Source organism: Homo sapiens, chromosome 1, assembly GCF_000001405.40.
Source record: "Homo sapiens chromosome 1, GRCh38.p14 Primary Assembly".
NCBI lineage: Eukaryota > Metazoa > Chordata > Mammalia > Primates > Hominidae > Homo > Homo sapiens.
Window position 1 is genome coordinate 120,996,174 of NC_000001.11, and position 14,308 is coordinate 121,010,481.

The 14,308-nt window shown below is 47.0% G+C and overlaps 3 pseudogenes across 1 annotated transcript in view, besides 1 other annotated feature; all 3 read right to left on the minus strand.

Annotated features, from left to right (window-relative positions):
• PDE4DIPP4 (PDE4DIP pseudogene 4) overlaps positions 1 to 14,308 on the minus strand; it is a 66,476-nt pseudogene that overhangs the window by 10,482 nt on the left and 41,686 nt on the right. The window lies entirely within an intron of this gene.
• LOC124904640 (uncharacterized) lies at positions 12,189 to 12,334 on the minus strand (annotated as a pseudogene).
• Positions 13,207 to 13,708: an enhancer, noted in NCBI's record as "H3K4me1 hESC enhancer chr1:149672741-149673242 (GRCh37/hg19 assembly coordinates)". NCBI's record gives its function as "activates a minimal SCP1, AML or CMV promoter by ChIP-STARR-seq in naive H9 embryonic stem cells {active_cell/tissue: H9 hESC(naive)}" and the evidence as "EXISTENCE:reporter gene assay evidence [ECO:0000049][PMID:30033119]".
• On the minus strand, positions 13,271 to 13,542 carry TRF-GAA10-1 (tRNA-Phe (anticodon GAA) 10-1; annotated as a pseudogene).

Consider the following 14,308-nt stretch of genomic DNA (forward strand, 5'->3'; position numbering starts at 1 on the left):
TATTAACATTTATTCAATAACATTATCTAATATATAGTCCAGATAAAAATTTTCTGTTTAGAAAATGTCACATCTATACACATATATGTGCATGTATATAGATATTTATGCATACATAGTGTGTGCATGTGTGTATGTATGTGTATATATAACACACATGCACATTACATATGCATAAATGTTTTAATTTAATAATATTTATATGCATCAATATCTTAAAGATATATACATATCATTAGCTGGAAGCTGCCTCTATCCATATATTAAAGGTTTCTCCATATGTAGTGAACTGTAACCTAACTCGATGTGTAAACAACCTGTAACCTACTCTTGAGCCAATGACTGAGTTTTAGCCAATCAAAGGTGGCCAACTGTTCAAACTGGGTTCAAATAAGACAAACTCAGAGCTGTAGCCAATCCGATTATTTTTGTACCTCACTTCTGTTTTCTGTAAGTCACTTTCCCTTTTCCATCCATAAATCTTCTTCTACCACATGGTAGCACTGGAACCTCTCTGAACCTATTCTGGTTCTGGAAATTTCTGATTCAGGAATTCTTCTTTGCTTAATTAAACTCTGTGTGTGTGTGTGTGTGTGTGTGTGTATTATATATTATATACACATGTAATATATATATGTATGTGTATATATAATATTTATTTGAGAGAGAGAGAAGTGACTTGTGGTACTGATGTTGCTTGCCTAGGTTCCAAGTAAAGTTCCTCAATTGCACTTTACTTACCTAGAGCTGTCCCTCCATTTCTTTGTCCTTGTTGCTAAGTTTTTGAAGTGGATAGGCTAGTTATCTTGTTCAACATCCTGCATTCTGATCAAACTAAACATTTTTGGAAAGAACAGAATATAGGAATTTGTGCTTCTTACCACTCAACCTGTCAGAAAGCAAGTGATGCAAGAACAAAATATTGTGAATATGTTTACATCGAAAGTGTTAAAGAAAACTCAGCATCTGCCAGCAAGTTTATGGCATGCCACGGTGGTATAGTGATTGGCACTTTGTGTTGTGAATGCAGAACCTTGATTCCAATCCAAAATGGCAGTGTGTGGCATCTTTTTGGGGAGAAACTGAGCTGTCTTTTGGTTTGTTTTCAATCCGTGCACTGACTGAGTCCTTTAGTAGGGTTTACCACTGACTCCTGTCAGGCAAAAAGGAGACCCCACATTGCACATACCTAGGGCCCAGGACATGCCCTATGTCTCACCATTGAGCAGAAAATATCCCAAAGGGTAAAATGTCACCTTTCAAACCGCCATGTTGGTAGCTTCCACTAATGCAGTGGTGTGGTCATAACTGGTTTTTACTGTTCCTTACAATGGCTGCAACCCTTATTTGTGACTAGAGAACAAGGCTTACCACTGAATTGCCAGCATGATACAGCCAGGGCCATCAAAAACACACCTGCACTAGGTCATTGGGAACTTTGGAGGTGCCTTACATCTGGGCATGCATTGAACCACCACACAAGGTGAAATGCCTCTTCTCAAAGAGGCTTGCCTGCAGTTTCCACTAATGAAATTGTGAGTCATAGCTGTTCTTCTGTTTGAGATATTAGGAGGGATTTTGTGGGGGGTGAGGGGGGATGAAAGTGAGCTTTTACTGAGTTTAAAATAAAATCCAAACTCCTTGCCATGGTCTACACTGGCTTGTCTCCATCTTCCATCCCCCACCCCCCATGTTTATGCTAAAGAGCAGACTATTGAAATGTAATTCACACAGTGTAAAATTCAAATATATTAACTAGGACAGGTTATTAAATATTGACAAATGAAATCATCACCCAGATCAAGTTATAGAAAATTTCCATCATCCCAAAAATGTCTGTGGATGCCAGGCACGGTAGCTCATGCTTGTAATCCCAGCACTTGGGAGGCTGAAGTGGAAAGATTGACTGAGCCCAGCAATTTGAGACCAGCCTGGGCAACATGGCAAGATCCCCATCCCTATAAAAATTTTTTCAAATTCAAAAAATAAAAAATATTTAAAAAGGTCCAAGAGTCCCTTTCCAGGTAATCCCACCCTTCTCCCCTTGGTTTATCACTATTCTGATGTTTATCACCATAGATTATGTTGCTCTCTTCTTGAAATTCATATAAATTCACTTTTTGTGTTAGCGTTTTTTTCACATCTTTGAAATGTATCCATATTATTATATGTATCTAGTTTATTTGGGTGTAACTGGTGAGTGTTATCCAATATGTGAATACACCACTGTTGATGGACAATTTGGTTATTTCTAGTTTGGACTATTATGAAGAAGGCTGCTGTGCATGAATATTATTGTACGAATCTATCAACAAATATTCTGTGTTTTCTTAGATTTTGTATTTGTCTCTATTTGGCATCTATTCACCGCAGAACAATTATAATAACTATATTTTCTTATTTTCTTTATTTTTTTCTTAAAACAATTTATTGATGTATGCCTGGTATACTAAAAGCTGTACATATGTAATGAACACAATTTGCTGAGATTGGAAATAAGTATGGACACATTAAATCATCACCACAGGCCGGGTGCGGTGGCTCACGCCTGTAATCCCAGCACTTTTGGAGGCCGAGGTGGGTGGATCACGAGGTCAGGAGATTGAGACCATCCTGGCTAACACGGTGAAACCCTGTCTCTACTAAAAACATACAAAAAAAAGATTAGCCAGGCGTGGTGGTGGGCGCCTGTAGTCCCAGCTACTTGGGAGGCTGAGGCAGGAGAATGGCGTGAACCCGGGAGGCAGAGCTTGCAGTGAGTGGAGATCGCACCACTGCACTCCAGCTTGGGCAACAGAGCAAGACTCCATCTCAAAAAACAAAAAAATCATCACCACAATGCATACAATAAAACTATTCATCTGGGCACAGTGGCTCACACCTATAATCCCAGCAGTTTGGGAGGCCCAGGCTGGTGGATCACTTGAGGTCAGGAGTTTGATACCAGCCTGCCTAACATAGTGAAACTCCATCTCTACCAAAAATACAAAAATTGGTACAGAATAATTATACATGTTTATAGGAGTACATATGATATTTTGATATATGCCTACGATGTGTAATGATCAAATCAGGATGTTTAGGATATCCATCATCTCAGACATTTTATCATTTCTTTGTGTTGGGAACATTTCAAATTCTCTCTTCTTAGCTCCTTTGAAATGTACAATATACTGCTGGTAGCTGTAGTCACCCTACTGTGCTGTTTCTTTTCTGAGATTCCACCTAACCCCTTGATGTTCCAACTGCTGTGGTTGTCTAAAACTTTGTCCTCTGTTCCTTTAATCTAGGAAGACAGTTTGGTTTTGTATTGTAATTTAGCTAATCCAAGTAAGGGGGAGCAAAGTTTGTTCTATAAACGAAAAATAAAATCCTGAGTCCCCCAACTGACTAAATGGACACCCTACTGGCCAACGGGACCCTAGGCAAACCTTATAAACTGAGTCCCAGGCCAAGAAGGAACGGGAGGCCAGACAAGCCTCATTATATTCCCACCCTTTTGCAATTTAGACAAAACTGACCAACATTAATGTTATCACAGAGATCATAAGACTGACGGAACAGACTCTTTATGGCAATAAGACACCAAATTATAAATAGGACTTAGGACCATTCCGGGCAAGGATTAACTCACACACCCCATATATGCAAAGAATAAACTATGTTCTAACTGCCACAAGGATTTTCTCTAGCAGCTAAACAAGCACTGGCCTTGAGAATAGGGAGTGTTGAAGCACTTGCTGCTCACCCCTCACCAGATACCGAACCCCGCTGTTCCACAAGCCATAACTACAGCCTTGACTGACAAGAGACTGATTTCAGTAACTTTCTTCTGATGAGAAGACCAGCGACCATGGACTGGTTCTGTCAGTTTTACAGTATCTGTGCATTTGAGTGCCTTTGTGTCCTGAAAAGACCTTTGTGTATAGGGCCTAATTGTAATGCATTTAAATGCTAAGTATCCATAACAAGGTGAACAAGTTTGTATATTACGTGAATGTTTGTTCAATAAGCATGCATCAGGACCCCTTCACAAATATTCATAAATCCTCCTATAACTTGTTGAATATGTATTTTAGGCCCACCCATTCAACTTAAATTCCTGTCTTGCCCCTCCCTCCCTCAAAGTGCCTGCTTCTGGGCTTCCCGCGATTCCCAGCCTGTCAGGATGACCACCTTACATGCTGTAACCCTTTAGAAGAAATAAATTCTCCTCTGTAAGCTCACAAATTGTATGGTTTTTCAGTTAACAGCCCTCTGCTGAAAGTTTGCAAAATGGGATACTCACTACCTGCCATTCTTCCATATGTCCGCCTGCTTTTGTTCAGTCTTCCAGCACCTTCAAATTATATAATATATATATGAAATAAATTTTTCTAGTTTATAGTCGTTATCTGTGGGAGAGTTACTCTGAAAGCAGCAAGAAGCCATTACCAGATGCAGATCTCATTCTGTCAGTAATGGCAACCCAGCAAATAGGACAGGAGCCCCACCCAGGTTGGATCAATGCATGGCTGTATAACCTTGAGCAAGCTGCTTAGTCGACCTCTGAAGTCAGTACTGCTGTATGAGAAATGGAGATATGAAAAGAACAGGAGTGCTAGGGTGCCCAAGGGAGAAAAGAGTAGGTAACAAGATTTTCGATCAGGAGCATGAGAAACAGGGAGAGGGTCACCATTAACTCCCCTTCTTCACCAGAGTTTTCTGGCACCCAAGACTACAGAAACTCTCCTGCAGTGGGCTTTGGGGCACATCGCAAGTTCCAGTAACAAGGGCTAAGATCGCCCGCTTTTGGAGACCTTACAAAGCATGTATTCCCTGACCAGGAATCGAACTCGAGCTGCAGGCGGTGAAAGCGCCGAATCCTAGCCACTAGACCACCAGGGAAACAACAGCAAGCACTTTTCATTCCTCTTGCCTTCCAAAGGTTTCTCCAAAAGGTGAACCTGTCTGCAATGCTCACGAAGCCCTCCAGATGCACAAGTCAAAACTGATCTAGAGATTCTGAAGTACGCTGTGCTCCTTGAGAAGTGCGGAGCCACTGGAACCACAAGCAGCTTCAGACAGGAACCAATGAGGCCATCAAAACCCTCAACAGAGGCATCTGTGAGTTCATTGTGGTGGCTGCAGACACCACGCTGCAAGAGAGCATTCTGCACTCCCACTGCTGTGTGAAGAGAAGAATGTGCTGGGCCTGCCTGGAATGTTTGCGCACTCCAGGCGGGCCCTGGGGCGGGCCTGTGGGGTCTCCAGTCCTGTCATCACCTGTTCTGTCACCATCAAAGAAGGCTCACAGCTGATCCAGTCCATTCAGCAGTCCGTTGAAAGGCTCCTAGTCTAAACCTGTGGCGTCTAAACCCGTGGCCTCTGCTGCACAATCTCTGCTGACTCCTCCCCCTGAGGTTATTCTCAGCTACTTTCTATTGCTATAAAATATTATAGTACTAAATCTGGTTTCTGGGGTTTTGTATAGTTTTTGTTCTGTTTTACAGGGTTGTTTTCCCCCTTCTCCATGCCCACCCTTTCTCTGCCATCCTGCATCCTCTTAAACTCTCTATTGAAAAATGAACAAATGTTCAGAACAGAGGAAGTAGAGTGGTGGCACCATCAAAGGCAGGAAGGGCCAGGAGAACCTGATGGGAGTGGGGATATAGACCTGGTTCTAGCTTCCAGGCTTCCAGTCACTAACTTTCTGCTGTGTGCAGGGCACAATGGAAGTAAACACCACCCACTATATATCCCCTGTGCCTGGCATACAGAATCATTCATACATGTTGACCGAAGGGTTTCCTTTGCTTCTAGGGGATTATGTATCATTTTGGGAGGAAGCATGTATTCTGTGAGGTTGTTTAGTTTATGTCCAAGTGCCATTTACTAATGTATCCCTGCTCTTTGCTTTCGGTATGTATGTTCTTCCTCCACCTGACAATTGTGCCCCCAATGGTGGCCAGGCAGCAGCATACCAAAGAGATGTGCTGCAAGATTTCAGAGGTGGGTGAGTGAGACATGGGAAAGTGGACTCAGGTCTTGAAAGAGTCAGGAGTGGCCAGGGCAAAGAACATGAACTGGTGCTGGAATGAAGGATTCTGGGAAGGTTGTGGAGACCTGGCTGGTAGCTAGAGCAGAGATGATGGAATCCAAGGAAACAACTTCTCTCCGGTGAATCAAGATTTCTTCAGTGGACACTTAGTCCCAGCTCTGATAGCCCTTACCCCTGTTTCCTGCCACAGTGTGGGTCATATGTATTCTTTATCATATGAGGAGAGTGCTAATTAATGTGTCATTTATTTTGTGAGCATGCTAATAAATATATTCATATTCCAATTTAGTGAAAAAAAATTGATCTAGAGATGCCCCTTTTCGAGGTGACAGCATGGCTCTGGAGAGATGGCCACAGGAACCATGGCAGTGGACCAGGTTGCTGGGAGAAGGCAAAAGGGGAGGCACCCAAGCTGAGAAGGGGCTAAGCACTCAGCCCCTGGGACCACCAACAGCAGGCCTGAGACACATGCAGGAAACCAGACAGCCTGGATGAAATTTCTTTCAAGCAAGGCCAGTGGTCCCTGACAGAACACCAGAGGTTTCCCCCTAAATCCTTTCGCATCTGTACCGTTTCTATCTTAGTTGGAGCTCTTTGTTCTCATCCTTGCAATACGCAGAGAAAAAAAAATCACAGGTTGTTGATTGTTTGAAGATAGGGTATTGCTCTGTCACTCAGGCTGGAGTGCAGTAGCATGATCACGGCTCACTGCAGCCTCGAACATCCGGGCTCAAGTGATTCTCCCACGTCAGCCTCTGGTGTAGCTGGGACCAAAGGTGTGCCACCACAGAGGCAGGGTTTTGCCATTTTGCCCAGAATGGTCTCAAACTCCTGAGCTCAAGGGATCAGCCTGCCTAGGCTTCCCAAAGTGCTGGGACTACAGGCATGAGACACCTTGCCCAGCCAACCAGAGTTCTTTTTGATGCCGATATTTTACTCGGACTCCACATCTAGGTAGGAATTCATGTTTTCAAGTACGGACGTTGCTCTACACAATCCTCTCCTTTCCTGATCACTAAATTAGAGTAAATCACTGTCCTGAAGAAGGTACCCTTGGGAGAGTGGGTTGGCCTCTCTTTCCACCCTTTCTTGACTCTGCCCTCACCTTCAAGCCTCTTTCTGGCCTGTGTTCAAGGTCCAGAGGCATGCTTAAGACCTCTCTGTGTGGCTCTTCTTGAAGAGTCAGGAACCCCATACTTCCTGTTCAGCGGGCAGAGAAGCTTCAAGCCGCACAGTTTTGGGTATGCTAGGATCCCACAAGGCACAGATGTGCAGTGGCCCACGAAGTGAGTTTGTGGGTCTCCAGTTACCTGCAGCCCTTTCTGCTCCTGTAGGTTAAAGGGCAATTGCCTTTTTTTTTTCTGTCCAGGAAGGACCCCAGAATGTTCTGAGTCAGAAAGACAGTGAATCCTCTCCTCTGGGTCACTGGGGAGGGAGAGAGAGAGATTTCAGAGGGAAGAAAGCAGAAAAAGATGTCACAAAATTGCCTAATCAAAAGTTACCATGATGCCTGCCTCATCTGGAACTGGGCTCCCAGTCTCTAGTGAGGGAGACATAGTCCAGTCCAGTCCCAGTCTCCAGTCTGAGCCAAAGCAGAACAAAGCTGGACACTGCAGCCTGGCATCCAACGAACATTTTGTCACTTTCCCCAGGGTGGGAGCATTTGAACTTTGGATGTGAAGGAAACATGGTAACCACTGCAGTAAGAAAAGCAACTGCTGGAGAAAATGGCACTTTCTTCCCCAAATTTGTTTTTACACTCATGTCTAAGGAACACCTTAGAAACCACATTAACATCTTTCAGCAAAAGGAAATTCTGCCTGTTGATCTTTTGCTGTGAGACAAACTTGAAAAGTTCACAGACACTGCCTTTCTCTGAAAACTGCCCTTACCTCTTTGTTACAATTCACTTCAAGATCTGTTGAGTAGGAACATCAAAAATGCAAATAAAAAGTTTCAAGTATTATGAAAGAATGCAATAAAACTTCCTTTAAAAAAAATCTCAAGATGGAGGTGGAGATCCTGTGATCATGAAATCTGAATAGGCTGCTCCTGTGTCCTTCAGTGGTGATGGCTCTGAAACCCTTGTGTTTTATGAACTTCATGCCCTGGTCTTCAAACGAATTCAGTGCAGGCCAAGAAGCACAGTTTGGCCTGGGTTGGATGCTCTATATTTTCAAAGAGTGAAATGCCTTGAGACACAGCCTTTGCTATAGTACCTGCTAAAACTTCAACGTGTGGATAAATATAGCTTACATTGAATCGAATAGACTCAGCGAGAGTGGCAGTGAAGGATGCCCTCTGGAAGATTCGAGGTGCTGAGGCCAAAGGGCTAGCAAGGAAAGAGCGTGCGGGTCAGGCCCTTCAGCCTGGTGGAAGAGCAGGCAGGGAGGGTCCTATGGTTCCTGGGAGGACCCGAAGCATGATCGCCTGTCAAGAGCCAAGAGCCCTAATGGCCAGCGCCGGGGAAAGGGCCCCCGAGGGGCAGTCAGCAGCCCTGCAGGGGCGGCGTTCACACTCCTGTGTGGCACGGGACACTCATGGCTCCACCAGCTCCTGAAGCTTCTGGGAGCCAGAGAGTCAGCAGGGAGAATCCCACACACGGGCACTCAGTTCCTGGAAACCCTGCATGAGATGCGGGATCCCGAAGCCAGATTGGGGGTCCCTAGGGTCTTGGCTTCGGGGCTAGGCGTGGAACCGTAAATGAGGGTTCAGCCTGTCTGCCTGAGGGATTGTGTTTCCTGGCGTATTTATCACTCAAATTTTGAAAAGCAGTCGAATTTGTTATATTGGAAACCCTAGTAGTTAAAAACAGCAGATGGTAACATTTCAGGAATATGTCTTGTGCCAGGAACTGTGAGGGGTTTCTGTAGTGTAGTGATTACATGTTCGCTTCACATGTGAAAGGTCTCAGGTTTGGGACCTTTCATCATCAACATGATGAAACCCCGTCTCCAGTAAAAATACAAAAATTAGCCAGGCGTGGTGGTGCATGCCTGTAATCCCAGCTCCTCGGGAGGCTGAGGCAGGAGAATTGCTTAATCCCAAGAGGTAGATGTTGCGGTGAGCTGAGATTGTGCCATTGCACTCCAGCCTAGGCAACAAGAGTGAGACTACGTCTTAAAAAAAAAAGAAAGAAAGAAAAGAAAACAGAGGACTTTAAAACCGTTATTATGTCAATATTCTATGGGTCCAAAGAATTAAGCAGAGGTATCAAACATATAAAAATGGTCAGAATCAAACTTTGGAGATTAAAAACTACAACATCTGAGATAATAAATTCACTGGATGCAATTAACAGAAGATTAGACACTGCAGAAAAAAAGATTATGAAACACAAAGCCGCCGGGCGCCGTGGCTCAGGCCTGTAATCCCAGCACTTTGGGAGGCTGAGGCGGGTGGATCACGATGTCCAGAGATAGAGCCCATCCTGGCTAAAACAGTGAGACCCCCGTCTTTACAAAAAAAAAAAAAAATATATATATATATATATATATATATATATATATATATATATATATATATATATATATAAATTAGCTGGACATGGTGGCGGGCGCCTGTAGTCCCAGCTAATCGGGAACCTGAGGCAGGAGAATGGCATGAACCCGGGAGGCGGAGCTTGCAGTGAGCCGAGATGGTGCCACTGCACCCCAGCCTGGGCGACAGAGCAAGACTCCCTCTAAAAAAAAAAAAAAACCGCACTGAGGGGAAAAGTCAATGTGAAATTCTACAAAAGCTGAAAATTCACTACCACCAGCCATTACCACAAAAAAAAAAAAAAAAAGTTGAAGGAGTCCTCCAGGCAGAACGAAACTGACATCGGATGAAAATCTGGTTGTACAAAAAAAAAAAAAAAAAAAAAAAAAAAAAAACTAGACATGACATCTAATAGACGAATATATAATTTTAACATCTGACTGTTTAGCTGGGCGTGGTGGCTCACGCCTGTAATCCCAGCACTTTGGGAAGCTGAGGCAGGCAGATCACTTGAGGTCAGGTGTTTGAGACCAGCTTGGCCAATATGGTGAACCCCTCTCTCTACTAAAAATACAAAAATTAGTACGGTGTGGTGGCCCACGCCTGTAATCTCTGCTACTCAGGAGTCTGAGTCAGGAGAATCGCTTGAACCCGGGAAGCAGAGGTTGCAGTGAGCCAAGATTGTTCCACTGCACTCCAGCCTATATGGAACCTAGTTTGATCTGGAGGGATCTTATTTTATAGGAGGCTTGGAGGGGGACCTTTTGCTTTGTGTACTCATAGGATGCACAAGACACAAGGGAACAATATCTCACTTTTTAAATACAGTGATAGGCCTGAGGAGAAACAACTGCAATTTTTTTTTTTTTTAATGAGATGGGATTCTCACTGGTCTTGAACTGAGCTCAGGCGAGGCTTCCCCTACGTCGGCCTCTCAAAGTGTTGGGATTAATAGGCGTGAGCCACCGCGCCTGACCACAACTAACCAACATTTAAAAGCACGTCCCTGGGTAGGCTCGAACCACCAACTTTCCGGTTAACGGCCGAACGCGCTAACCAATTGCTCCACGGAGATAACCTCAGTTGGTCGCTTTCATCTCAACATAGATTAAGCAATCACTAAACTCTAGGGGTTGCCATTCGCTTTCTGCAGGACAACTGTGCAGACTACAAAGCTTCGGAAAACCGGAGAGGCTGAGTCGACTAATCGTGTTGTTCCACGTTAGAAACGCTTGCATTGCCTGACTCTGAAACCAGAAGGGCGGCCGAATGGCCTTCACCCTCCGTTAACCCTCGCCTGCTTCAGAAGCTAGTGCCTCTGGAAATGCCTGGATCTGCGACCCCAGCCTGAGCCTAGTAGGGCCCAAGGGAAGCTGAACGCCCCGACGGCTCTCATGGTAGCTCTTTCTGTTTTTTTGCGCCGCCTTCAGGCAATCATCTACTCCGCTTGCTATCCCCTCACTCAACTCGGCTTCAGTAGATGGGGTTGGTGGGGCGGGAGCGGGAAAGAGGCAGGGGAGTCAAAAGGGAAAACCTGAAAAGAAGGAGGGAGAAGCAGGGGAGACCAGGACGAGACAATGGGACAGCCCAGGATGCCGGTGCAGAGGGCACCGGCTGGATGCAGAGAAGATGGGACACGTATCAGAATGGACTGGAGAAGACGTGAGGGAAAATCACAAGAACCTGTAGCTGCCCAAGAATAAACACGTAAAAATCGCATAAATGTTTTTACATTAAAAAAAAAATCGGGGGACCGGGCGCAGTGGCTCACGCCTGTAATCCCAGCACTTTGGGAGGCCGAGGTGGGTGGATCACTCACTTGAAGTCAGGAGTTCGAGACCAGCCGGGCCAACATGGTGAAAGCCCGTCTCTACTAAAACTACAAAAATTAGCTGGGTGTGGTGGCGACGCTTGTAGTCCCAGCTACTCAGGAGGCTGAGGCAGGAGAATCGCTTGAACCTGAGAGGCAGAGGTGGCAGTGAGCCGAGATCGCGCCACTGCCCTCCAGCCTGGGCGACAAAGCGAAATTCTGTCTCTCAAAAAAAATGCATAAATAAATAAAAGAGGGGTGGGGAAGCAAAACGACGGGCAGTAGGTGTGGGGCGCATTGGGATTCTATAGTGGTTAGTACCCTGCCTTGTGCCTGCAGCAACCTCTGTTCTAATCTGAATCCTGGTACAGTCAGACTCTATCTTGGACCCACTGGGGCGAACCCACGTGTCTTTTGGTTTGCCTTTAATTCCTGCACCAGCTGCGGCCTTTATCTGCAGCCAGAAAGCAGGTTTTACCGCTGGCCCCACAGCGCCATACGGTCTGGGGAAAAGAAGGAAACCCAATAGTACACAAACAAAGGCCAAAAGAGAAACCTTCCAAGTGCTCTATGCCTCACGGTTTAGCAGAAAATATCAAGCAACTCTCAACCTAGCTGGTCTGTAGCTTCCACAAATGAAATACTGTATTCATTGCAGCCTTTCTGGTTGAGATATTTCAAATATTTGGTGGAGCTTTTAATGAGACGGAGAGACACTCTCGAGTGTGGAAGAAAAAAATGAGGGGGTGTGAGGATAAGGCGACTTTAGGACAGAAAAAACAAAGAGACAAGGAAGCCACGTAAACGTTTTCGGGTAGGCGTTAGGCGATGTCAGTTTTGAACCCCGTTTATGTTAGGTAGAGAGCGCAGCCCTCTTCTAGCACAAACACCGTTTCCCACATTGAAGAAATCACAGAGATCAGCAACTCTAGAGTGCGATGAAGAAGCTTCACTCTGGGAGAACCCCCTTCGTGACCACGGTCTCTTTCCTGCCAGGTAAGTGGGAATGAGCGCATGCCCTACAGGGACAGCACAGCGTCCTCGCCCTGGCCGGACGCTCAGGGTCACCACCCTACCCACTGCCCCCCTCGCCATTCTTCCAAACCACTCTCTGCCAAAGATTCCACCGACAGTCACCCCACACGACAACCCAGGCCGCCTTTCAGCAGCGGCTCCCGCCCCGCAACCACGCGCCCTCTCACCCCCGCGGTTCTGCCCGCCGCCTCTGTCCAGTCTGTGCACTTCACCTCCCTGGCTCCCGCTCTCCCCTGAGCTTACAGTGGACGCGGGGTTCTTCCGAACCCCTCTTGGGAATACTGAATGGAAAAGGGGGAGCGTGAGCAAGTGCTTGGTAGAGTGTAGACATTGTGGGATTTGACTGTGGTACCATCGCTTTGACGTCCTAGTGCTGATTTTTACACCTGCATTCTGCTTAGGGCACCGGCAACAGTTTTCCGTTTGTGCCTACTCCACCTGCTGTCTTTGTTGGGTCAGCGAACATCGCCTCCCTCTACCGCTCAATCAGCAAAAGGGACCGCCCTTGAGGACCTCACCCGCCGCTCACTCCCCTCCCAAATTCGCGGGCATCGCCTCCGGTCGCCTCTTCCGAAGGCCTAACGAGCATGTTAGCTGCGAACGGAGGTGAGGAGGCTCCGCTGACTGACCGGTGCCCATGTCCAGGGCACGCACAAACGCCATGACTTGGCTTGGCCTCTCTCTTAGTTATTCACAGCTCAGCCCGATAGGCACCTCCGGGGCGGCGACGGCAAAGAGGGTGAGCTTATTAAGTGCAGCTCCACGGGGACTGGCCTCTCTGCACGGCTGTGTACACCTGAGCGAGACGCTCAGTCGCTCTCTAAAGCCGCTTCTGCGGATGACAGACACGGAGATAAACGTGAGAGGTGGCCCACCACGACTTGCCCTCCTTTGCCCGGGTTTGCCCCTCGCTGAGGAGGCTGTTCTACATCTGACCCTTGGAGCAGGCCGGCTGACAGCGTAGTAAAGGAAGATTTCTGCGGGAGGGCGGCCAGTGCAAAACAATTCCCTGACCGGGAATCGAACCCGGGCCGTGACGCTTTCAGCACCGAATCCTAGCCACTAGACAACCATGCAGATGCGGAAAGCTGCTTTCTCTCCCTTCTTCGACCTGAAGCGACACTTTCCTGTGCTCTAGGAGGACTTGGGTCTTGTGAGAGTCGCTCTTTGCTCCTGGAGTCGTCTCACAAGGCCGTTCACTCCCTGCTTTCTTCAAAAAAAGAACCTGCAGGCGACACACCAAGGGCTCCACGAGGGAGTCCTGAGTACTGGAGCGAGTTGCGGCCACGCGGCCGCAGCTCACCACTGGCCTAGAGATGCCCTTTGCGAGGCGGCAGCAACTGACAAGATGGTCGCGGGTCGCCGCGTCCGGAGCCGCCCACCAGGTTGCCAGGAGGAGGCGGGAGCGGGGAGGCGCCCGAGGTGAGACGGGGGCACCCTCTGCATCATAAAGGACCCAGACCCCGGCACCCTCAACATCATAAGGAATCAGACGGATGCGGAAACCGAGACGGGCTGGATAGGAAACTCTTTCCAGGAAGGCTCCGGGGCACTCAACTGGTCTCCAACCTTCCCCTGCAACCTGTGACGCCTGCCATTTTCCCATTTTAGGCGATGGCAACGCAACCCCTCCGTTTGCTCTGGGCAAAACTTCGAGAGTTCCCTCTGAAGCTGGAGCTTTTTCCTCAGATCCAAGATCCAATTGGTCACCAATTCGTGATTTCCGTCGGCCAAGTGCGTGGGCATTGATCTACACGCGAGTTTCTCCACCTCTGCCGAATGGCTACTTCGGGGTGGGGGAAGGGCCCTCCCGCCGTGGATTGCAAGGTGTTTAGCAGCATCTGTCTCCTCCGCTGACTAGACACATGCCAGGGGGATAACATTCTCCCTCCCGCTTCCCCCAGCCGCGGCCTAGTGTCCCAGCGGGGTTGGGAGAGGCATGT